Source organism: Homo sapiens, chromosome 15 (genome assembly GCF_000001405.40).
Source record: "Homo sapiens chromosome 15, GRCh38.p14 Primary Assembly".
In the NCBI taxonomy this organism is placed as follows: Eukaryota; Metazoa; Chordata; class Mammalia; order Primates; family Hominidae; genus Homo; species Homo sapiens.
The window spans coordinates 68,239,785-68,266,891 of NC_000015.10; the positions used below are offsets into that span (position 1 = coordinate 68,239,785).

General features: G+C 39.2%; 1 protein-coding gene and 2 pseudogenes across 1 annotated transcript in view, besides 1 other annotated feature; 1 reads left to right on the forward strand and 2 right to left on the reverse strand.

Moving 5' to 3' along the window:
- Positions 1-17,427, reverse strand: part of CLN6 (CLN6 transmembrane ER protein) — a 50,220-nt gene extending 32,793 nt beyond the window's left edge. Inside the window, exon 1 of the mRNA NM_001411068.1 lies at positions 16,906-17,427. Within this exon, the coding sequence (NP_001397997.1) occupies positions 16,906-17,084 (179 nt within the window). The 5' untranslated portion in view covers positions 17,085-17,427. The remainder of the gene's footprint in view (positions 1-16,905) is intronic.
- HMGN2P40 (high mobility group nucleosomal binding domain 2 pseudogene 40) lies at positions 14,758-15,317 on the forward strand (annotated as a pseudogene).
- Positions 17,087-17,734: an enhancer, noted in NCBI's record as "H3K27ac hESC enhancer chr15:68549209-68549856 (GRCh37/hg19 assembly coordinates)". NCBI's record gives its function as "activates a minimal SCP1, AML or CMV promoter by ChIP-STARR-seq in naive H9 embryonic stem cells {active_cell/tissue: H9 hESC(naive)}" and the evidence as "EXISTENCE:reporter gene assay evidence [ECO:0000049][PMID:30033119]".
- Positions 26,894-27,014, reverse strand: LOC124903593 (uncharacterized; annotated as a pseudogene).
- Positions 27,015-27,107: the final 93 nt, after the last annotated feature.

Below are 27,107 nucleotides of genomic sequence, written 5' to 3' on the forward strand. Positions count from 1 at the left end.
AACAGGCATTCTTTTCAAGGACACTTGGAATATTTTTAAAAATTGACCATATAAAAGGCCATAAAACCAGCCTCAACAAATTTCAAGAATCTGATTTACATAAACCACATTTTATAATCCACAATCATAGATTTAACTTAAGCAACCAAATTAGAAGTGCATAAAAGAAAAAGAAGTGACACATCCACTAGGTTTTGGAAATTAGGAAGTATACTTCTAAATAACTTGTAAGTCAAGTAAGGAATCATAAAAGAAATAAAAAGTTGAACAGAATCAATGATAAAAATTACACTTATCAGGACTTATGGATGCAGGAAAAATAGTAATTCAGGGAAATTTATAGCTTTAGCTGCTTTCATTAGAAAAGAAAAAAGACTGAAAATTAATAAGCTAGGCTTCACTGTAAGAAGAAAAAAACTCCCAATAGAATAAACCCAAAGAAAGCATAAGGAAAGAGATAATAAATATAAAGGAAAAATTAATGAAGCAGAAAACAAACATGCAATAGAGATGATCAACAAGCCAAGGCCAGGCCAGGCGCAGTGGCTCACGCCTGTAATCTCAGCACTTTGGGAGGCTAAGGCAGGTGGATCACTTGAGGTCAGGAGTTTGAGACCAGCCTGGCCAACATGGTGAAACTCTGTCTCTACTAAAAATACAAAAAAAATTATCTGGGCATGGTGGCACATGCTTGTAATCCCAGCTATTTGGGAAGCTGAGGCAGAAGGATTGCTTGAACCCAGGAAGCAGAGGTTGCCCTGAGCTGAGATCGTGCCACTGCACTGCAGCGTGGGCAACAGAGCGAGACTCTGTCTAAATAAATAAATATATACATAAAATAAAATAACAAGCCAGGGGAGGGCCAGATAAAATAGATAAATGTTGGGCAAGATTCCTTTAAAAAAAAAAGGGGACAGGGCCGGGTGCGGTGGCTCACGGCTGTAATCCCAGCACTTTGGGAGGCCGAGAGAGGCGGATCACTTGAGGTTGGGAGTTCGAGACCACCCTGGCCAACGTGGTGAAACCCTGTCTCTACTAAAAATACAAAAATTAGCTGGGCGTGGCGGTGGGTGCCTGTAATCCCAGCTACTCAGGAGGCTGAGACAGGAGAATCGCTTGAACCCTGGAGGTGGAGGTTGCAGTGAGCCGAGATCGCACCACTGCACTCCAGCCTGGGCGACAGAAGGAGCCTCCATCTCCCAAAAAAAAAAAACAAAAAAAAAAACACAGTAGCATTCACAAATAAGCAAGAATATGAATGAAGAACAGAAGAAAGCTGCAAATATGGAAGAGATGAAAAAGATAAACATGCCATAAATAACATTATGCTAGTAAATTTCAAAATTTATTAGAAAGGGAAACATTTCTAAAAACATATAACTTATCAAAGCTGCATCAAGAAAGCCTGGAGACTTCCAGTCCAAAACTGGTGGTGTAGAAGCAAGCTGGCTACATTCCTTCCCACAGAAAACCAAAAACAAATACACAGTGCTGAGATGATCAGCACTATGCCAGCAATATTCCAGAACCCAAATATGAGGATGAGGCAGTTCCTGGAGTCATAGAGAAGTGAAAAAGCTCTGAGCAGTCAGTAAGATAAATGGATTTCTACATCCATGACTCCCCTCCCTATAATCTGCCCAGCACCAAGTGTGTGGGAAATTTCCCGACTCAACGATTTCTGCACTGGAAAAAGTGAGATTGAGGTGGACGACTAGCTTTTCCACCATTGTGGGTTTCCTGGCAGGAGACCTTGCCTCTGCCTCAACCCATGGGAAGCATCATGATTGCCTGAAGGAAGAAATATCTCTGAGGACACTGAGAGACCAAGGAGGGAGGTGGGGATACTATCCCTAGCCCTAGAAACATGGTTCTGTAACTCGGCCAAAGAAGACACCAAATCAGAGTGGCTGTTAGCAGCACCACACTGTAGCAGCTGCATTCCACAGGTCTCCTGGGCACTAATCCCCAGCCAGCCTATCCATACTGCCAGGATATCTGCTCTGGGACCTCCCCCATTTGGAACTTCAGTGTTCCAATTGTTTATTAGAGCCGAGGCAAACCTGGGCTTAAGAAATCATCTAGTGCCAAAAAGGAGGTAGTGACCTAGTGGAAAATAAACAAACAAATAAGAAATTCAGCAGTATATTACAAAGACTCTATAAGCAAACATACCCAATAAAAAGCAAAACAGGCCACACAGAGAAGACTAGAATAAATAAATAATCCTTCAATGCAAAGATGTAGATGTATATCCACAAGAAATAACAGGAAACAGGAAACCATGGGCACCCCAAACAGACAAAGCATGGAACCAGTGATGGCCCTAAGAAGATGGCAATATGTGAGCTCTCTGACCAAGAATTCAAAATAGCAGTTTTAAGGAAACTCAGTGATCTACAAGATAATACAGAAAATCAATTCGGAATTTATTAAATTTAACAAAGATTGAAATTTTTAAAAATCAAATCTTGGAACTGAGAAATACATTTGCTAAATCAAAAAATTCATTAGAGACTCTCAACAGCAGAATGGATCAAGCAGAGGAAAGAATCCATAATCTCAAAGATAGGCTATTTGAAATTACATAGAGGAGAAAAAAGAAAAAAAGAATACAAAGGAATGAAGATTGCCGACAAGATATGGGAAATTGCCTCAAAAGATCAAATCTAATAATTATTGGTGTTCAAGAGGGAGTTGAGCAAGAACAAGGGGTACAGAACTTACTTAAATAAATAATAAGGAGACTCCATCTCAAAATAAATAAATAAATAAATAAGGAAAAGAAAAATAAGTGCTTAAATAAAATATTTTGTCAGAAAAATAGAAACTAATGCCTTTTTGTTCACGTGACTTTAGTAACCTTTTGGAAATAAAGACAGTTTTAAAGATTATTGGTAAAATAAAATGTCTTGAAAGTGTAGACATTTGGTTTAAATTAAGGTCAGATATCAGACTTGCTAAATGCTTTAAGGTCAAACTGTTTCTTTGACTTTTGAAAATGGTTTGATTTACCTACTTTGGAGCATTAGATGATAGGTAAGGCCTGGGGACATGTGGAGAGCCATGCCCACCAGCTATGCTAAGAGTCAGACCTTATCTTCATTTCTGTCTAATGTCCTAAGCTCCACCCCAGTACATAATTGAAATTGCTTACTTACCAGGTTTTTCACTAAAAATAAAAGTTGCTAAGCGTTAACATTGTAATATGTAGTTGAGACGACTGCAGAAACAGTTTTATATACAAGGTGTATGGGGAATGTGCTTTTCGTAAAAGACTGTAAGAAGTCACAGAAATACGGCTTTTGTTAAAGGGAATGTAATTTTGTCTAGTTCAGAGGGTTTTAAACATTGTCCTAACCTAAAAGAGTAATGGAACAAAACTGAAGGTTTAAGCAAAGTGAAAAGGGTTTGTAAAACCCTTTTAAAATTCTGTGAGTATAAACAAGTTGGCTAAGATTTAAAAGGAATTATTTAGCTTTTTTCCTTAGGTTAAAACACTGAAATCATACTGATATGGGGCCAGAATCTCGGCCTACTTTTCCGAATAACAGAGTTTTCTTAGAAAATTAATCTGCTGTTTGATGGAAAATTGTAAAGGGTTCTAAAAAGTTCATGAAAATCTTACCTTATGGTCAAACTAATTAAGACTGGATAGATATAAAATTTTATTTAAAAAACTAGCTTTGGCTGGGTGCGGTGGCTCATGCCTGTAATTCTAGTGCTTTGGGAGGCCAAGGTGGGTGGATCACCTGAGGTCAAGAGTTCGACACCAGCCTGGCCAACATGGTGAAACCGCATCTCTACTAAAAGTACAAAAATTAGCCAGGCATGGTGGCATGCACCTGTAATCCCAGCTACTCAGGAGGCTGAGGCAGGAGTATCGCTTGAACCCAGGAGGCAGAGGTTGCAGTGAGCCGATATTGCGCCACTGCACTCCATCCTGGGTGATAGAGCAAGACTCTATCTCAAAAAAAAAAAAAAAACACAAAAAAAAGGATGGGCATGGTGGCTCACGCCTGTAATCCCAGCACTTTGGGAGGCTGAGGTGGGCGGATCACAAGGTCAGGAGATCGAGACCATCCTAGCTAACACAGTGAAACCCCGTCTCTACTAAAAATACAAAAAAAATTAGCCGGGCCTGGTGGCGGGCGCCTATAGTCCCAGCTACTCGGGAGGCTGAGGCAGGAGAATGGAGTGAACCCGAGAGGCGGACTTTGCAGTGAGTTGAGATAGGGCCACTGTACTCCAGCCTGGGTGACAGAGGGAGACTCCATCTCAAAAAGATCAAAAAAACAAAAAACAAACAAAAAAAAAACTAGCTTTAACATTAAAGATGCACTAATGCAAAATAATAATAATAATAATAACAGAAAACTTTCCAAAGCTCAAGAAAGTTATAAATATCCAAGGACAGAAAGATCAGAGAACACCAAGCAGTTTTCGCCCAGGTAAGACTACCCTAAGGCATATAATAATCAAACTCTCAAAAGTCAAGGACACAGAAAGGATCCTAAAAGCAGCAATATAAAATAAGCAAATAACACATAAGGGGATTCCAGTTCATCTGGCAACAAGACTTCAACAGAAACCATAAAGCCAGGAAGGAATGGGACAGCATTTTCAAAGTGCTGAAAGAAAAAAAAAACTGCCATCCAAGAATACTATATCCAACAAAGCCATCCTTTAAATATGAAGGAAAGATAGTCTTTCTCTGACAAACAAAAGCTAAGAGAATTCACCATCCCCAGACCCGTCTTAAAAGAAATGCTAAATGGAGTTCTTCAATCTGAAAGAAAAAAACACTAATGTGCCAAAAGAAAACATTTGAAAGCATAAAACCTACTGGTAAAATTAAGAACAAAGACAACCCCAGAATACTCCAATACTCTAATTAAGATGTAAAATTCACTCATAACTCTAATATAAAGCCTAGAAGAGAAATCTATCAAAAACAGTAGCAGCTACAGCAACCTGTTAAGAGACAGGCAATAGCGGCCAGGCACAGTGGTTCATGCCAGCACTTTCGGAGGCCAAGGTGGGTGGATCACTTGAGGTCAGGAGTTCGAGTCCAGCCTGACCAACATGGTGAAACGCTGTCTCTACTAAAAATATAAAAATCAGCCAGGTGTGATGGTGCACACCTATAATCCCACCTACTTGGGACGCTGAGGCAGGAGAATCACTGGGTTGCAAGGAGCTATTGTACCATTGCACTCCAGCTTGGATGACAGAGCAAGACTCTGACAAAAAAAAAAAAAAAAAAGAGAGAGAGAGGCAATATAAAAATATGTGAATTGAGACAACAAATAGTCAAAATGTGGGGAGATGGAGTTAAAGTGCAGAGGTTTTTTTTTTTGGTTTTGCTTTATTTCTGCTCTTTTTTGTGATCTAAGGTAAGTTATCATCTCTTTAAAATAAGTTATCGGTTTTTTTGTAAGCACCATGGTAACCATAATGTTAAAACCTATAACAGATACAATAAAAATAAAAGGTGGCCAGGCGTGGTGGCTCATGACTGTCATCCCAGCATTTTGGGAGGCTGAGGCTGGCAGGTTGCTTGAACCCAGGAGCTTGAGATGAGCCTGGGCAACATGTTGAAACCTCATCTCTACAAAAAAAGTATAAAAATTAGTTGGGTGTGGTAGCACATTCCTGTAGTCCCAGCTACTTGGGTGGCTGAGGTGGGAGGATCACCTGAGTCGAGGGAAGTTGAGGTTGCAGTGAGCCATGATTGCACCACTGTACTCCAGCCTGGGTGACACAGTGAAACCCTGTCTCAAACAAAACAAAACAAAACAAAAAACAACAACCAGAAAATAAGCAACAAAATGGCAGTAGTAAGTCCTTACTTATCAATAATACACTGAATGTACATGGGTTATTCAATGTTATTATTAAGTTTAATTGGAGAATTCAGTCAATTCTCTAATTAAGAGACAGACAGTGGCTGAATGGATAAACAAGGCCCAACTATATGCTGGGTGATATTAACTAATATGTTATTATCACATGAACACAATGAAGAATAAGAAACCCAACTTACCAATAGAGACACACATAGACTGAAAGTGAAGAGATGGAAAAAGACATTCCATGCAAGTGGAAACCAAAAAAGAACAAGATTAGCTATACTTATATTACATAAAATAGACTACAAGTCAAAGACTGTAAAAAGTGACAAAGAAGATCAATATATAATGATAAAGGGGTCAGTTTAGCAAGAGGATATAACAATTATAAGTATCTATGCACTCAACACTGGAGCACCCAAGTATATTAAGTAAATATGAATCAACCTAAAGGCAGAGATAGACTGTAATACAATACAGTAGGGGACTTCAACACCCCACTTTTCAGTAATAAACAGATCATCCAGACAGAAAATCAACAAAGAAGCATCAGAATTGAACTACACACTAGACCAAATAGGCCTAACTGACGTTTACAGAACATTTCACCCAACTGCTGCAGAATACACATTGTTTTCATAAACACATGTAACATTCTCCAAAATAGACTATATCTTAGGCTACAAAACAAGTCTGAACAAATTCAATAAAGTAGAAATTATATCAAATATATTTTCTGGCCACAATGGAATAAAACTGGAAATCAATAACAACAGGGATCTCAGAAACTACATAAACACATAGAAATTAAACAACTTACTCCTGAACAACCAATGGGTCAATGAAGAAATTAAAAAGAAAATTTAAAAAATTTTTCAAACGAATCAAAATGGAAATAAACATAACAAAATATATGAGATATGGTAAAAGCAGTACTCAGAGGGAATTTTATAGCAATAAATGCCTACATCAAAAAAGCAGAAAGACTTCAAATAAACAACCTAACAATGCACCTCAAGGAACTAGAAAAACAAGAACAAACCAAACATGTTAGAAGGAAATTATTAGAATGAAAGAAATAATAAATATCAGAGCAGAAATAAATGAAATTAGGCTAAAATATAGAGAAAATCAATGAAATGAAAATTGGTTTTTTGAAAAGATAAACAAAATTAACAGACCATTAACTAGGCTAAGATAAAAGGAGAGAAGTCCCAAATAAATAAAATTAAAAATGGGCTGGGCACGGTGGCTCATGACTGTAATCCTAGCACTTTGGGAGGCCAAGGTGGGCAGATCACTTTAGGTCAGGAGTTCGAGACCAGCCTGGCCAACATATTAAAACCCTGTCTCTATTAAAAATACAAAAATTAGCCTGGCGTGGTGGTGCATGCCTGTAATCCCAGATACTCGGGAGGCTGAGGCAGGAGAATTGCTTGAAACTGGGAGGTGTTCTAAGCTCTGGAACAAAACAAGGATGCCCACCTCCACTTTTATTCAACATAGTATTGGAAGTCCTGTCCATAGCAATTAGGCAAGAGAAAGAAATAAAGAGAATCCAATTTGGAAAGGAAGAATTCAAATTAGACTTGTACACAGAAGACATGATCTTACATTTAGAAAAACCTAAAGACTCCACCAAAAAACTGTTAGAACTGATAAACAAATGCAGTAAAGTCGCTGGATACAAAATCAACAGACAAAAATCTGTAGCATTTCTATCCAATAATGAACTAGCAGAGGAAGAAATCAAGAAGGCAATCCCATTTATAATAGCTGCAAAAACAAACAAACAACAACAACAACAACAAAACCTAGGAATAAATTTAACCGAAGAGGAGAAAGATCTCTTCAAGGAAAACTACAAAGCACTGAAGAAATAAATTGAAGAGGACACAGCAAAATGGAAAGCTATTCCATGTTCATGGACTGGAATAGTTAGTTGTTAAAGTGATAATTCCACCCAAAGCAGATTACAGATTTAATGCAATTGCTATCAAAATACCAATGATGTTCTCAACAGAAATAGAAAAAACAATCCTAAAATTCATATGGAACCACAAAAGACCCAGAATAGTGAAAGCAATCCTAAGCAAAACGAACAAACCTGGGTCAGGCATGGTGGCTCATGCCTGTAATCTGAGCACTTTGGGAGGCTGAGCTGGGTGGGTCACCTGAGGTCAGGAGTTCAAAACCAGCCCAGCCAACATGGCAAAACCCCATCTCTACTAAAAATACAAAATTAGCTGGGTGTGGTGGCACATGCCTGTAATCCTAGCTACTTGGGAGGCTGAGGCAGGAGAATCACTTGAACCTGGGAGGTGGAGGTTGCAGTGAGCTGAGATCGTGCCATTGCACTCCAGCCTGGGCACTAACAGTGAAACTCAGTCTCAAAAAAAAAAAAAAAAGAACAAATCTGGAAGCATCACACTAACTGACTTCAAAATATACTACAAAGCTATAGGAACCAAACTAGCATGTTACTGACATAAAAACAGACACATAGACTAATGGAACAGAACAGAGAATCCAGATATAAATAAATGCATTTGCAGCCAATTCATTTTCAACAAATGTGCCAAGAATATACAATGGGAAAGGATAGTCTTTTCAATAAATAGTGCTGTGAAAATGAAATAACCATATGCAGAAGAATGAACTATACTGCTATCTCTCACCATACACAAAAATCAAATCAAAATAAATCAAAGACTTACATCTAAGACCTAGGCCGGGTGCGGTGGCTCATGCCTGTAATCCCAGCATCTTCGGAGGCCGAGGTGGGCGGATAACGAGGTCAGGAGATTGAGACCATCCTGGCTAACACGGTGAAACCCCGTCTCCACTAAAAAGAAAAATACAAAAAATTAGCCGGGCGTGGTGGCGGGTGCCTGTAGTCCCAGCTACTTGGGAGGCTGAGGCAGGAGAATGGCATTAACCTGGGAGGCGGAGCTTGCAGTGAGCCGAGATTGTGCCACTGCACTCCAGCCTGGGCTACAGAGTGAGACTCCGTCTCAAAAAAAAAAAAAAAAAAATCTAAGACCTAAAACTACGAAACCACTAGAAGAAAACCTTGGGGAAATGCTCCAGGACATTGGTCAGGGCAAAGATTTTTTTGTGTAAGACCTCAAAGGCACAGACAACAAAACCAAAAATAGACAAACGGGATTACATCAAGCTAAAAATCTTCTGCACAGTAAAGGAAACAATCAACTAAGAGGAGATAGCCCAAAGAATAGGAGAGAATATTTGCAAACTATCCATATGACAAGGGGGATTAATAACCAGAATATACAAGGAACTCAAAGAACTCAATAGCAAAACCAACAACAACAAAAAACAACAACAACAAAAAAATTCAATTAAAAAATGGGCAAAAGATCTGAATTGACATTTGTGATAAAAACATACAAATGGCTGACAGGTATTTTTTAAAATGCTCAACATCACTAATCATCAGGAAAATGCAAATCAAAGCTACAATGAAACATTATCTAGCCTAGTTCGAATGACTTTTATCAAAAAGAAGGAATAACAGAGGCTGGTAAGGATGTGGAGAAAGGGGAACTCTCAAACACTGTTGGTGGGAATGTAAATTACCACAGCTGCTATGCAAAGCAATACGGAGGTTCCTCAAAAAGCTAAAAATAGAACTACCATATGATCCAGCAATTCCACCACTGGGTATATATCCAAAAGAGAGGAAATTGATATATTGAAGAGAAATTCGCATTCCCATGTTTGCTGCAGCACTATTCACAATAACCAAAATATGGAATCAACCTAAGTGCCCATCAACTGAATGTATGGATAAAGAAAATGTGGTATAGATATACAATGGAATACTGTTCAGCCATGAAAAAGAATGAAACTCTGTCATTGTAGCAACATAGATAGAACTGGAGATCATTATGTTGAATGAAGCCAAGCACAGAAAGACAAATATATCTCATGTTCTCACTCACATATGGGAGCTAAAAAGTGAATCTCATGAAGATAGAGAGTAGATTGACAGTAAGGGTGGGTGAGGGGATGGAGAGGTTGATTAATGGGTACAAATACACAGTTAGGTAGAAGAAAGAAGACCTGATATTCGATAAGGTGACTGTAGTTAACATTAATCTATTGGACATTTCTTATTATTTTTTTGTGTATGTGACGGAGCCTCACTCTGTTGCCCAGGCTGGAGTGCAATGGCGTGATCTCGGCTCCTGCAACCTCTGCCTCCCGGGTTCAAGCGATTCTCCTGTCTCAGCCTCCCGAGTAGCTGGGATTACAGGTGCGAACCATCAGGCCTGGCTAATTTTTGTATTTTTAGTAGAGACGGGGTTTCACCATGTTGGTCAGGCCGATCTCGAACTCCTGACCTCGTGATCCACCCACCTTGGCCTCCCAAAGTGCTGGGATTAGAGGCGTGAGTCACTGCGCCGGCCACTATTGGACATTTCAAAATAACTAGAAGAGAATAATTCAAACGTTCCTAGCATAAAGAAAAGATAAATATTTAAGGTGACAGCTATCCCAATGGCCCTGATTTGATTATACAAATGTACCAAATTATCACATGTACCCTGAAAATATGTACATCTATTATATATCAATGAAAAATAAAAAAATTAAATTCCTACTGAAGAAAAGAAAGCCCAAGTAGTCCAATAGCTATGGGATAAATTGAATCAGTGGCTTAAAAAAAAAAATCAAGCCAGCTGGTCACGGTGGCTCATGCCTATAATCCCAGCACTTTGGGAGGCTAAGGCAGGCGGATCAAGAGGTCAAGAGATCAAGACCATTCTGGTTAACCAACATGGTGAAACCCCGTCTCTACTAAAAATACAAAAATTAGCTGGGCTTAGTGGCGCATGCCTGTAGTCCCAGCTACTCGGAAGGCTGAGGCAAGAGAATCGCTTGAATCCGGGAGGCGAAGGTTGCAGAGAGCCAAGATCGCACCACTGCACTCCAGCCTGGGCGACAGAGCGAGACTCTGTCTCAAAAAAAAAAAAAAAAAAAAAATCAAGCCTAGATAGTTTTCACGCAATTCGTAGCAGATTTTCATGGAGCAAATGATACCAAACATCATAGCTTATCCTAGCCTAACTTAAACATGCCCAAAACACTCACGTTAGCCTACAGATAGGAAAAGATTAAAATTCAGGCTTTGAAGTACAGTTTCTATTGAATGTGAACTACTTTCAAATCACCATAAAGTAAAAAAATCATAAGTTGGGGACTGTATTTGTATTCTAATTTTATACTAACTCTTACAAAGAATATCAAAAGAAGCATACTTCTTAACTCTGTATGAGGTTAGTATAAACTTAATATAAAACTAATCAAGGACTGTATGAGAAAGGAAATAACAGACCAGAATCTCTGATGAACATGGATGTAAATACTATAAACAAAATATTAAGAAACTGAATCCAACATTATGTAATAAAGACAATTTATGATGGCTAAGCTGGATTTATCCAAAGAGTATAAGAATGTAAATCATTCTTATACTCTAACATCAAATCCATAACTTTAGTCCATCACATTAAATGGATTAAAGGAGAAAAGTTATATAATTATCTCAATAGATATAGTAAAGGCATTCAGTAAAAGTTAACATCCATTTATGACAAAAGCTCTTAGTAAAGCCGAAATAAAATGAAACTTCCTATTGTTAAAGGTTATTTTTAAAAAGCCTATAATCTTCATCATTCTTAATGGTAGATCACTGTAAACATTGTTCCATTAAGAGCAGACTAAGACAAGGTCAGGCGCAGTGGCTCACACCTGTAATCCCAGCACTTTGGGAGGCAGAGGCGGGTGGATGGATTGAGCTCAGGAGGTCGAGACCAGGCTGAGCAACATGGCAAAACCCCTTCTCTACAGAAAATACAAAAATTAGCTGGATATGGTGGTGCACACCTGTAATCCCAGCTACTTGGGAGGCTGAGGCAGAAGAATCGCTTGAGCCTGGGGGTTGGAGGTTGCAGTGAACCAAGATCGCCCCACTGCACTCCAGCCTGGGTGACACAGTGAGACACTGTCTCAAAACAAACAAACAAACAAACAGAATAAGGCAAAGATGTCTGCTATCACCCCTTCTAGTCAATAAGGTGAAGGGTAAGACAGAAAACAGTACTGTCATTATTTGTAGGTAATATAATTGCATATATAGAAAACCTCAAAAGAATGTTCAGACAAATTATTAGAATTAATAAGAGAGTCCAGCAAGGTTGTTAACTGCAAAAATGCAAAACTGGAAGAAGGTATTTGTGACATGTAGAACTGACAAAAAGATCTAGCATGTGCGTGTGTATGTGTGTGTGTGTATGTGTGAATCTTTTTTTTTTTTTTTTTTTTTTTTGAGACGGAGTCTTGGTCTGTCGCCCAGGCTAGAGTGCAGTGGCGTGATCTCGGCTCACCGCAACCTCCGCCTTCCGGGTTCAAGCGATTCTCCTGCCTCAGCCTCCCGAGTAGCTGGGATGTACAGGCAGGCACCACCACGCCCAGCTAATTTTGTATTTTTAGTAGAGATAGTGTTTCTCCATGTTGGTCTGGCTCGTTTTGAACTCCCAACCTCAGGTTATCCACCCATCTTGCCCTCCCAAAGTGCTGGGATTACAGGCGTGAGCCACCACACCCGGTCTTGTGTGAATCTTAAAATAAGAAAAAGACAAACCAGTAGGAAGATGAGCAAAATACATGAATAGGCACTTTACCAAAAAAGGAAGCATAAATTACCAACAAACATGAAAAGATGCTCAACCTCATTGACAATCAGGTAAATATAAATAAATGCCACAATAAGCATTTTATTCCAACTCTATTGGCAAAAATTAACAAATTTAGTAGCAAGTACTGGTGAAGATATGTATCAGTGGAACCTCTTTTATACCACCAATATTGTGTAAATTGGTACAATCTTGAAAAACACTTTGGCAATATTTTGTAAAATTGAACTGGATATATTGCAGGGAAGTTCTTGCACAAGCATAACAATATTCAGTGCAGTACTATTTACCAAAAATTGGGGTCTACCAAATGTCTACTGATAGGAAAATGGAAAAATAGTGATATATTCACAGAGTGCATGTACTATAGCTACACACATCAACCTGGTCAAATATAATGTATGAAAAAGGCAAACTGTGGAAAACTAAATAAAGTCAAACTTGCATAAAGCTCAAACAAGTAAACTAAACAATATCTTGTTTAGTTATATCTATGCCTATGATAAAACTACATATTTTTAAAAATCAAGAATATAGTCAATCTGAAACTCAAGCTAGTATTACCTCTGGTGAGGAGGTAGAGCAAGACAGGAAAGGGGAATACAGGTGGATGCATGAATAGGCAGTGTTCTAGTTCTTAAGTTGAATGGCGAGTTTCTAAGTCTTCATTTCATGTTGCATTTGTTCTTTTGATGTATCAAATACTATAGTTTTTAAGAGAGCTGTAGTTTCCCTCTTTCGCCACTACATGGCAGGCTAGCACCTTAGTGAAATAAATCCTGAATGGGAAAGGCTGGTGTAAATGGACATGTACCTAATAGCTTTCTAGCAGCATTCTAATTTCCCCATGCGGATACATATAAAATAGGGCTTGATGTGCTCAGAGTGTTTAAATGCACAACCACAGCATCTCAGGCGTACATCACTGTGGCATGGATCTTGCAGCCACGTGACCGGGTTTTTTGTTTTTATTTTTCCTTTCTTTCTGCCTGGTTATGTAACTATTTTTGCAAACTTAGAAGTGTTTCTGTTTGAATGCTGAGTTTTATTTCTCAGAATGTTCCAATATTTCCCAAGGCATTCATTCCTAAATTAATAACATGGAGCGGGAGGACAGTCCCTCATGGCAATTGACACATCTAACTTGCACTTTTATGTCTAACATTTTGGAGCTGTGTTTTTCACCACTAGCATTAGAACCACTGTTTAATAATGTCTGATGACACTATTGCAATATATAAAGTAATACTTAAAATTTAGTAACAATCAATGTTAAAATAGCAATGCAATAGTCATCAAAATCACTCACAGAAAGTCTGGTGCCAAATAGCTTGTTCACATGATGTGATTGATGTGACAGTGACACAAATGTCGGCAGATACTTCTTTTTTAGCCGCCGATATTATGCCACCAGTGGCGACACACAAACAGCATAAAGTCTAACTTCTATAAATCTCAAGTAAACTAAACAATATCTTCTTTGGTAATACCTATGCCTATGATAAAACTACATTTTTTTTTTTTTTTGAGACAGAGTCTCGCTCTGTCGCCCAGGCTGGAGTGCAGTGGCGCAAACTCCGCTTGCAGTGGCTCACTGCAAGCTCCGCCTCCCGGGTTCACGCCAATCTCCTGCCTCAGCCTCCCGAGCAGCTGGGACTACAGGCGCCCACCACCGCGCCCGGCTAATTTTTTTTGTATTTTTAGTAGAGATGGGGTTTCACCGTGTTAGCCAGGATGGTCTCGATCTCCTGACCTCGTGATCCGCCCGTCTCGGCCTCCCAAAGTGCTGGGATTACAGGCGTGAGCCACCGCGCCCGGCCAAAACTACATATTTTTTTAAAAATCAAGAAAATGGTCGACATGAAATTCAAGCCAGTATTATCTCTGGTGAGGAGAGAGAGCACGATACGAAAGGGGCATAGGGAGCATACAGGTGGATGCATGAGCAGGTAATGTTCTCGTTCTTAAGTTGGATGGTGGTGAGCCACCCACTTGCAGCTTCACTCTCTAGACTTGCCCTGTCTGCTACCATAGCACTAGACACACGTGGCAAGGGAGCACTTGAAATAAGATGTGCTGTAAGTATGAAATACACACTGGAGTTTGAAGACTTAGTATGAAAAAAGGTCAAATGTCTCTTAATAAATTTTAATGTTGATTACATGTTGAAATGATAATATTTTGAGCAGTGTGAAAAAGAGGTGAGAACGACCCCAGGACAGATCAAAGCCACGCTCCCAGCGCCTATGTCCCGCCGCCGTTGCCGCCACCACCGTGCCCAGGAGAAAGGCTGAAGGTGATGCTAAAGGAGATAAAACCAAGATGAAGGACAAACCACAGAGAAGATCCACGAGGTTTTCTGCTAAACCTGCTCCTCCAAAGCCAGAGCCCAAACCTAAAAAGGCCCCTGCAAAGAAGGGAGAGAAGGTACCAAAAGGGAAAAGGGAAAAGCTGAAGCTGGCAAGGAGGGGAATAACCCTGCAGAAAATGGAGATGCCCAAACAGACCAGACACAGAAAGCTGAAGGTGCTGCAGATGCCAAGTGAAGTGTGTGCATTTTTGATAACTGTGTACTTCTGGTGACTGTACAGTTTGAAATGCTATTTTTTATCAAGTTTTACAAAAATGCAGAATTTTGTTTTACCTTTTTTTTAAGCTATGTTGTTAGCACACAGAACACTTCACTGTGTTTTTTGGGAAAGGGGCATATGTCACTAACAGAATGTCTCCGAAGCTAGGTTGATGTGGGGAAAACCCTTTTCCCTTCTAGTTTTGGGAGACTTGCCCTTGGCTCCCAGGAAGGGGGATTCCCTGACTTTGACACACAAGGTCCCTTGGCACAAAAGCCTCGTGGGACGGAAAAACAAATTCCTTTCTATGTCCTCTTCTCCCTTTCCACCTTTCAGCATAGATTTAACTCCCTTAAACCCAGACACCTGTTGGACCTGACCCCCCCCAATAATTGGTTACTGGTGTGTCAGGCAATCTAGCCTTTCCAGTGATGCCACTGAGATGGAACCCCTCAAAAAAGCAGTGGTTCTGTTTCTAGATTGTGGATCTTCAGATAAATTCTGCCATTTTCATTTCACTTCCTGAAAGTCAGGGTCAGCTCATGAAACATTGTTAAACAACATGCTAAACATGAACTATCAACCTCACTCTAAACTTTCCCTGTTCAGAGCATCAGATGAGGACTTCATTTGGGTTTTATAGTGGCTTTCTGATTTTTGGTAGTCCTTTGAAGAAGGGAGTTTGAAAGTCACTGCATATGTTAACTATTGTTTGCCCATGCCCTGCCTGAAATGCCATGATTGTTTATGGAGAGTATCTTTAATAAAGCTGGATACAGTTTGGCTTGGGAAAATAAAAGAAACAATATTTTGTATATGTTTGGTTAAATGAAATACTTCAATTCATTTCACCTGTTTCTTTTTACTTTTTCTTTCTTGTTTGGAGTCAGGGTCTCCCTCTGTCACCAAGGCTGGAATGCAGTGTTGCAGTCACCACTCACTGAAACCTCAACTTATCAGTTTTAAAAGATCCTCCTGCCTCAGCCTCCCCAGTAGCTGGGACTACAGGTGCGGGCCACCATGCCTGGCTAATTAATTTTTGTACAGACAGGGTCCCACTATGTTGCCCTGTCTGTTGTCCAACTCCTCGCCCGAAGTGATCCTCCTTCTTCGACCTCCCAAAGTGCTAGAATTACAGGCATGAGTCACCGCCCCCAGCCTTTCCCCTCTTTTTATTTTATTATTATTATTTTTTTGAGACGGAGTCTTGCTCTGTCTCCCAAGCTGGAGTGCAGTGGCGCCATCTCGGCTCACTGCAACCTCTGCCTCCCAGGTTCAAGCGATTCTCTTGCCTCAGCCTCCCAAATAGCTAAGATTACAGCCACGCGCCACCATGCCCAGCTAATTTTTTTGTATTTTTAGTAGAGGCGGGGTTTCACTATGTTGGCCAGGCTGGTTGAGAACTCCTGACCTCAAGTGATCCGCCTGCCTCTGCCTCCCAAAGTGCTAGGATTACAGGTGTGAGCCACCATGCCCGGCCATTTTTCCCTTTTTTAAATGTGGTTACTAGAAAATGTAAAATTACATATGTGGCTCGCACTGTATTTCTGTTGGGCAGCACTGCTCTAGCCGTTATTACCAATACAATACTTGTGTTATAGCACTCCTGTATCACAGTATTTGTTATTACAATACTCTCTTTGGGATCCCCACACACGTGGCTGGCTTCAGGGGTGTGGGCAGTGCAGTCGCACAGGGCCCCACGTTCAGAAGGGCTTCGCCCTTGGTTTAATGCGCTGCTCTCATTGCCTTGAAACTTACTTTTTACCTTTGAATTTGAGTTTTCTCAGCGAAGTCTCACAGGACAATGGCGCCTGCGCCAGTGGCTTGAAGGCTCGGCTCAAGCCCGCCTCGCCTCCCTCCCTCCTAGGGATGGCTCCCAGTGTCTCTGGCCGGGGCCTGCCTCTCGCTCGCCGCTCCTTCCCGGCAACGGCTGCCATTTTCCGCCCAGGCAAGGTCCTGGGCGCGGCTCTGGGGAGGGTCAGGGTGCGCGTCCCACCGCGTCGTGGGGCAGGGTGTAGTGATGGTCACGCATCCCTTCCCTGGGCTTCTCCGGCACACCTGTATCTAGGGACTGAGCGCGACTGACGCAGAGGTCGCAATACCGCTGGGGGCTGCCTGGTGCCATGCGGTTGGGCCGCGGGCCCAAGGGAAAGAGAGACACCTGGCCTGACTTCTGCAGGCCTCTCCCCGCCAGCGAGCGCACGGCAGCGGTGCCCAGGGGCTGGAGGCAGCGGAACGCACGCGCCCGGCGTCGCTGAGGGCTTGCGCCAGCCCCAGAGTACCCGCGTGCCCGAGGGAGCGCGCCCGCCTCTGGCTCCGAGCTTGGGGGAGGGGCGGCGTGAGGGAGGGAGGATCTTGTTTTCCTGCTTGCAAGCTTCCTGAGTCTTTGTTGCGCTGTTTGTCTCTTCTGGCTAGTCAGAGCACCCTCTGGGGACAAGCCGTAACATACGAATTGTGTAACTCGGTGATTCCACATTGCACAATATGAACATAAATGGTAAAATTCGTGCTAATAATTTAAAATTGTATTTTTTCTTTATTTAGAAATTTTCATAAGTAGCATATAAAAAGCACAAAAAGTCCAGAGAGAGAAGGCTAGAAGCAAGGTAAAAGCTTTTACTTGCCTTTTGAATAAGGCATCCTCATTTTGCACCGGGTCCACAAATTATGTAGCCAGTCCTGCTTCCATAATCTAAATTTCAAGCATTCCAGGCTCTGACCACTACTTTTGGGTTGTCCAGCACCACAAGTCCAGCAATCTTTTGATTCCAATAGGACCTACAATTAATAGATCTTACCACCTTTTCTCTGGCCTTCATCTCATATATATATATGATATATATGAGATATATATATGATATATATGAGATATATATATGAGGAGATATATATGAGATATATATGAGATATATATGAGATATGATATATATATGAGATATATATGATAGATATGAGATATATATGATAGATATATGAGATATATGATAGATATATGAGATATATATGATATATGAGATATATATATGATAGATATATGAGATATATATATGATAGATATATGAGATATATGATATATATATGAGATCTATATATGATATATATGAGATGTATATATGATATATATGAGATGTGTATATATGATATATATATGAGATGTATATATGATATATATGAGATGTGTATATATGATATATATATGAGATGTGTATATATGATATATATGAGACGTATATATGATATATATGAGATGTATATATATGATATATATGAGATGTATATATATGATATATATGAGATGTATATATGATATATATGAGATGTATATATATTATATATATATGAGATGTATATATGATATATATGAGATGTGTATATATGATATATATATGAGATGTATATATATGATATATATGAGATGTATATATATGATATATATATGAGATGTATATATGATATATGAGATATATATGATACATATGATATATATGATATATATGATATATAGATATATGATGATGATATATATGATATATATGAGATCTATATATGATATATATGGGATCTATATATGATATATGATATATATGAGATATATATGATATGTATATACATATATCTCACATATATTATATACATATATGTATATCATATATATGAGATCTATCTCATATATGATATATATGATATATATGAGATCTATCTCATATATGATATATGAGATATATATGATATATATGAGATATAGATATATATGATATATATATATATCATATATATCCTGGCTTCCCTTCTTTCCCGGCTTAAATTTCATTGTCAACTATTTTGGTCATTCCTGTGGATACACCCTGAACTCCCTTGCCCCGTCTCCATTCACAATACCCATCTGGCCAACTCTAGTAAAGCCCAACTCTCTGCTCTGTGCGGTCTCTCAGGCTCCACTAGGCAGCCCTGAGTGTGCCTCACTTTGCTGTCTCCAAAGAGCAACAACAGGGGAAGCCCCAGTGTGCAAGAGCTCTTCATACCTCTGCTTTAAAGTCATACTACCCCGGCACAAGTCACAGGGCCAAGCTCAGCCTCAAAGGGTGGAGAAATAGATTTCATCTCTTGATGAAAGAAGCTACAAAGTTACATTGTAAAGGGGCTCATGTACATAGATGGAGAAAATTTGTGGCAATTTTTTCAATCTACCACAAACTTTAAAAGGAAAGAAAGTATATCTCAATCTTTCTCCTCCCGGGAGATATGTTAGTTTCTGCAAATCTGACTACTGTCTCCAAGAATCTCAGTTACTGAGATAATAGGAAGGAGAGGGGCAACTTTGTCAAATCATTAGATTCTCCAGAATTATGATAGCCTGGTCACTATACATGAGGTGACTACTGCTTAAAAAACTTTTTTTTTTTTAAGACAGTGTCTCAGTCTGTTGCCCAATTGGAGGGTAATGGCTCAGTGCAGCCTTGCCCTCCAGGGCTCAGGTCACCCTCTCACCTCAGCCTCTTGGGTAGCTGGGACTACAGGTGCTTACCACCATCCCCAGCTAGTTTTTTTTGTTGTTGTTGTATCTTTTTTAGAGGCAGGGTTTTGCCATTTTGCCTAGGCTGATCTCAAACTCCTGAGTTCAAGCTATCCACCTGCCTCGGTCTCCCAAAGTGTTGGGATTACAGGCAAGAGCCACCATGCTCGGCCCCCACAAAAAAAAACTTTTAAACATCTATTGAGTACAGTGTTTTGCATGGATTATAAAATACTTGCTCCCCATGACATTATATAATCATTGAGGAAATAGAGTCAAGGTAGTTAAAATATAAGCATGAAGTCACACAAGCAGGAAGTGGTAGAATCCAGATTTGAATCCAGGTCAAGCCAGAGCATGCAACCACTATGCTGTGTTATCTCCTAATGCGTTTTTTTTTTCCTAAAATAAGGCTTGTTTCATGTGGCATAAGCGTGGCTGATAAATACAGATGGTGCCTGACTTATGATGGCTTGACTTGGGATTTTTCCACTTTATAATGGTACAAAAGCAATACACATTCAGTAGAAACTGTACTTCAGCTTTTAAATTCTGCTCTTTTCCCAGGCTATGATACTGGCATATGTGCCCATGCTGGGCAGCATTAGCGAGCCGCAGCTCCCAGGCAGCCACTTGATCATGAGGGTAGACACCTGATACTCTACAGTGGACTGTGTTGCCAGATGATTGTGCTCAACTGTAGGCTAATATCAGTATTCTGAGCATGGTTAAGGTAGGCTAGGCTAAGCTGTGATGTTCAGTAGGTTAGGTGTATTAAATGCATTTTCAACTTGCACATTTTCAACTTACAATGGGTTTATTGGAACATAGTCCCATCCTAAGTTGAGGAGCATTTGTACTTTTTTTTTTTTTTTTTTGAGACAGAGTCTTGCTCTGTCACCCAGGCTGGAGTGCAGTGGCACGATCTCGGCTTACTGCAAGCTCTGCCTTCTGGGTTCACGCCCTTCTCCTGGCTCAGCCTCCCGAGTAACTGGGACCACAGGCACCCGCCACCACGCCCAGCTAATTTTTTTGTATTTTTAGTAGAGATGGGGTTTCACCGTGTTTGGCAGGATGGTCTCGAGCTCCTGACCTTGTGATCTGCCTGCCTCGGCCTCCCAAAGTGCTGGGATTACAGGCGTGAGCCACTGCACCCGGCCCCTGTACTGTTTTTCAAGAAATTTTCATTCTATAACTTTATTACATGTCAACTACATAATCATCAGTTAACTTCTTTAGTGAAATATGATTAAATTAATTGTATATATTATATCCCATGGAGTCAGATACAGAGACATAGCATACAATAGCATAGTAATGTTAGACCCCATACTAGATTGTAAACTAGATTGTAAAGGTCATAAACTTGTATATCCCCATTTAATTTACTTTTTAATCTTTTTTTTTTTTTTTTTTTTTTTTTTTTTTTTGAGGCAGGATCTCACTCTGTCGCCCAGGCTGGAGTACAGTGGTGTGATCATGGCTCACTGCAACCTCGACCTCCTGGGTTCAAGCGATCCTCCCACCTCAGCTTCCCAAGTAGCTGGGACTACAGGCACATGCCACCATACCTAGCTAATTTTTTGTATTTTTTATAGAGATGGGGTTTTGCCATGTTGCCCAGGCCACTCTCCAACTTCAGGGCTCAAGCAACCCTCCTGCCTCGGCCTCCTAAAGTGTTGGGATTACAGGCGGGAGCCACCACACCTGGCCTTAATCTTCAAAGAAAGATTGTTCTAAAATTCAAAGAGAGATATTCTAAAATTTATTCTTGAATAGGTAGGACATGCACACAGTACAGTAGTCCCCCATTCTCTGTGATTTCACTTTCTGTGGTTTTGGTTACCTGCAGTCAACTGCCATCTGAAAATATTAAATGGAAAGTTCCAGAAATAAAAATTCATAAGTTTAAATTTTGTGCCATTCTGAGTAGGATGAGGAAATATCTTACTGCCCTGCTCTCTGTCTGGGGTGTGAATCATCCCTTTGTCCAGAGTATCCATGCCGTATATGCTACCAGGCTGTTTGAGGTTTGGTAGCCATCTTTGTTTTGAGATGAACAAACATACTATACATAGGGTTCAGTACTATCCGAGGCTTCAAGCATCCACCGGGGATTTTGAAACATATCCCCCAAGGATAAGGGGGGCTTCTATATACAATTTAAAAGGCATACATCTATAGCAAACAGTTTGGTGGCTTTCCACAAGGTTTTTTTTTTTTTTTTTTTGAGACGGAGTCTTGCTCTGTTGCCCAGGCTGGAGTGCAGTGGCACGATCTCGGCTCATTGCAACCTCCACCTCCCAGATTCAAGTGATTCTCCTGCCTCAGCCTCCCAAGTAACTGGGATTACAGATGTGTGCTACCACGTCTGGCTAATTTTTGTATTTTTAGTAGAGAGGGGGGTTTCACCATGTTGGCCAGACTGGTCTTGAACTCCCGACCTCAAGCGATCCACCCGCCTTGGCCTCCCAAAGTGCTGGAATTATAGGCGTGAGCCACCATGCCCAGCCGCTTTCCACAAGTTAAACATAAAATTCCCATGTGACCTACCAACGCTGCTCTGTGGTATATAACACAAATAATAACGAGCTCAAGCAAGAAGTATACACAAATGTTCATAGCAACTTTATTTGCAATAGCTAAGAGGTAGAAACAACCCAAATGTTCATCAATAGATGAATGGATCAACAAAGTGTGGTATAGCCATACAATGGAATATTATTTAGCTATCAAAAGTAATGAAGTACCGATGCAGGATACATGGATGAACCTTAAAAACCTTGAAAATATTATGCTAAATGAAGGAAGCCAGACACAAAAGACCACACAATGTATGATTCCATTTATATGCAATATCCAGAATAGGCAAATCATAGAGACATAAAGCAGATTAGTAGTTTCCAGTGGCTGGGGGACAGAGGAGTGACTGCTTTATGGGTACAGGGTTTCTGTTTGGGATGATGAAAACATTCCGAAGCTAGATCATTATGATAATGACATAACATTGTAAATGTACTGAATGTCACTGAATGGTATACTTCTAATGATTACAATGGTAAGTTTTATGTTATATGCATTGTACTACAAAAAGAAGCCAGAAAAGGGGTACACAAGAATGTAGAGTAAAAACTGAGAGGCTGACTTGGGGTTCACTGCCTATGAGTTAGCACTGGTCTGCAAGGAGCAGTACCATTCAATAAAATATTGCTGCCTATACATATATTAAAAAAAAAAACAACGAAAACAGCAAAAAACCTTGAGTCTTCCTCACATCCCTGTCTTCTAGCACTTAATTTCTCTCCCCAGAAGTCACTCCTGCTATCAATTTGTTCTATATTTGTACTGACAAATTCTGTGCATCTATGAACACATATATTTGTATTTAGTTTAATAATATTTTCATATAATTGTAAAATATTGTAGTATCATATACCTACTGTTTTTTTTTCTCTTTTGTTCCCCCAGCTCTCAGTATGGAGATTCCTCCCTTTCACTACCAAAGCAGAACTAACCCATTCTTTTACATAACTATTCAATGTTCCTTTGTTTCAAAGTTTTAACATTTGTTTATCATCTTTTGATAGAAATGTCGGTGGTTTCCTATCTTTTGTTTTCTTTTACTTTACAAATATCTTGTGAGTACTTACGCTAAATCAGGGATTAGCAAACTACAACCCAGGGGCCAGATCTGGTCCATCATTTGTTTTTGTCTGACCTGCAAGTTAAGAATAATTCTTCATTTTTAAATGGTTGAAAAAAGTTTTAATTTTTTTTTTTTTTTTTTTTGAGATAGGGTCTGGCTCTGTCGTTCAGGTTGGAATGCAATGGCACGATCTTGGCTCACTGCAACCTTTGCCTCCCAGGCTCAAGCAATCCTATTAGCCATCATGCCTGACTAATTTTTTATGTTTTGTAGAGATGGCATTTCATCATGTTGCTCAGGCTGGTCTCAAATTCATGAGCTAGAGTGATCTCAAAGTGCTGGGATTACAGGCATGTACCACCTCACCCCATACCCCCCACTTTTCACATGTATGAATGTATCTATAGGACAAATTTTTTAAAAGTAAAATTGTTAGGTCAAAGGAAATGTGCATTTTATAATTTAATAAATATTACCAAATTGCTCTCCATAGAGGTTGAATCACTTTACACAGTTTGACCAACACTGTATGTTTTCAAACTTTTTGATCTTTGACAATATGATAGATTTAAAAAAAAATGTATAGCACAAGCTATCATTTATGAGACAGAAATTTGAACCCTGATTGAATATTTACAAATATTAAGGAATTATTGTTAATTTTTTAGATATAATGATGGTATTTTGGAACACTGAATAGATATTTTGGAAGATATTTTGCTTAGATATGATGATATTTTGGTTATATATTATTGAAAGATATAGACTAAAATAATTATTAATGAAATAATACAATGTCTGGGATTTGCTTCAAAATAATAGAATGGGAGTGTGTGTGGGATGGGGTATGGATGAATCATGACTATGAGTTTATGATTGTCGAATCTGGGTGATGTGCACTCTACAATTTTCTCTTCTTTTGTATATGTTTGAACCTTTCCAAAAAAAAAAAAAAAATTCACTTCCAAAAAAGGGAGTGACTGAGAGGAGAGTAATTGGAAACAATGAGTCCAGACAGCTCTCTTAAGGAATTTTGATATTTAAAAAAAGAGGGGAAAAAGGCCACTAGCTAGCAGGATCAACGGAAAGGTATATTTTAAAAAGAAATTTAATTATTCAAGTATTGCATGTGGGTGGAAAATGCACAGCACAATGAATGATCAGTAAGTGAACATCCCTAAATATGAAAGAAAAGGTTTACTTATTGGATTTTTTGGTAAACATTTTTGTTGAAGTATAACTTACATATAGTAAAGTGCATAAACATTAAGTATACCAAACTTGATGGATTTCAGCAATGAGTTATCCCCATGGAACCAACACCCTAAGTCAAGAATAGAGCTGTAAATCACTGTGGTGTCTGCAGGGGCCGGGGGAAAGAATAGAGCTGGGTGTAGTGGTGTTTACCTGTAATCCCAGCTACTTGGGAGGTTGAGGCTGTAGGATCACTTGAGCCCAGGAGTTTGAGGTTGCAGTGAGCTATGAACATGCCACTGCATTCCAGCCTAGGTGATAGAGAGAGATCCGGTCTTTAAAAACAAAACAAAACAAAAACAAAAACAAAAACAGAAAACATTTCCAGAATGCAAGAAGCTTCTTCCTTGTTGCCTTCCAGTCAACCAGTTAATACTCGCTGCAAAAGGTAAACTCTCTTGCCTTCTTTTGAACTTTCTATCAATGCAATCAGTAAAGTAGTGACTCTTTTGTGTCTGGCTTATTCTGCTCAACATGATGTTTGGACATTCATCATGTTGTTGCATGTAAAGGGCATTCATTCTCTTTTTGGTGTATAAAAATACGTAATAGTAGAACATTCTGATGTATGAATATAACCACAATTTATCCATTCTACTGCTCATGGACATTTGAGTTTTTCCAGTTTTTGACTATTACCAACAGGGCTGCTATAAACACTCTAGTATATGCTTTTTGGCATACATATGCACTCATTTCTGTTGGGTATATACATAGGAGAAGAATTGCTGGATAATAGAGTATGTATCTTTTTCACTGGTGGGCACCAGTTTTCCAAAGTAGCTGAATCAATTTATATTCCCACCAGCAATGTATGAGAATTGTTATGATCAGTGTTTTAAAGTTAGACACTCCAGCAAGTGGATATCGGTATCTCCGAGCTGTCTTAATGTGTACTTCCCTGATGACTAATAATACTAAACTCTTTTTTAAAAATATGCTTATTGAGCATTTGAATATACTCTTTGGTAAAGTGATTGCACAAGTCTTTTGTTCATTTTCCCCCTTGGCAGTCATTTTCATAGTGATTTGTAGGAGTTTTTATATATTTTGGATCCGAGTCCTTTGTGAGATACACAACACACACACACGTATAAAATAAATATTTACATTATTATATATTATATAAACAAATTGTATATAAAATAAATGTTTTCTCTCAATAGTGTGTATCCTCCATGTTCTTCTTCCTTCTCAAGATTGTCTTTGCTGTTCTTCATCCTTTGTAATTTCCATATAAATTCTACTGAGCTTTTTTACTTCTACCAAAAGAAAAAAAAAAAGGATTTTGAGTGACATTGCATTGAACCTAACGAATAATTTGGGAAGAACTGACATTTTTACAATATTGTGTTTTCCAAAGTATAAATGTTATCTATCCCTCTGTTTACTTAGGTCTTTAAAATTTTAATTTAATCTAATTTTTTTTGAGACAGGGTCCCCCAGGCTGGAGTGCAGTGGTGTGATCCTGGCTCACTGCAACCTCCGCCTCCTGGGTAACAGAAAAACCTGTTGATCAAGCAAAGTAAGTCTGAGTACTTATTTTAGTACTTACTTTTAAAGTAAGCGGGTAGGGCATAAGTTGTATTAGCCTTACTGCAGAAAGGAAGAACACTACCTCGATAGAGAATTAGTAGTATGTCAGAGGGAGATTTCAAGAAAGGATGTTTATAGGATTTGGGGGTCTGGGCTCAAATGGTTTAAGATGGTCTTACAAAGAAAGAAACTGATAGGAATTAAGCACAGTTTGTAATATTTAGGAGAGTTAGGATTAGTAGACACAGAGAAATAAAAGTCTCCATGCAAGCCTTGATAAATAAACTGTCATATACGTGAGCTTTTTGCCTATTTGAGCAGTCTGTTATCCTGACAGGAGAGTTCTTTGGCCAAATGAGCAAACTGTTTTCCCCAATATGTTAATTTCTTGAAGCAAACAATAAATGTATTTGTTGGTTTACCACCTTGTCTTCCTGGGCAAGAATTTCCTAGGAGACTTGTGTCATGTTGACTCAAGTGGTCTTAGTCCTCATTCAACAAGACCAACTTCTTAGCCTGAAATCTCCTGTCTCATAAAAGTGGAGACCTATTTTTGCTGTCTGTTCTTTCTATACTGTGACTTTACTGTGGGTAGGGCATAAATCTTATGCTCCTGGATGTGGGTTTGTTTATTTTTACATATTTGTAGCCAAATGTATATTAATTATTATTTATAATATTTGCTTTTATTTTTTGCTTTTAAAAACTTAATAGTGCATCACAATAACTTTCCCATTATACAATCTTTATAAAAACTATTTTGATGGTTCTATTATTGAGATTGTTGAGGTTATATCATTAGCTAGATTCCAAGAAATTGAATCTCTAAGACAAAAGGTATAAACCTTTCTAGAACCTTCATAAATATTATCAATTGCTTTCCTACACTTGATCTTAGCCAAAAGGCCAAGAAGCAATCAACTGCTTTCCTAAATAATTTTACCAATTTGCACACCTTTCAGCCAAATATGAGGAGTCCTATTTTACCAACTCTCCATAACACTGGATATT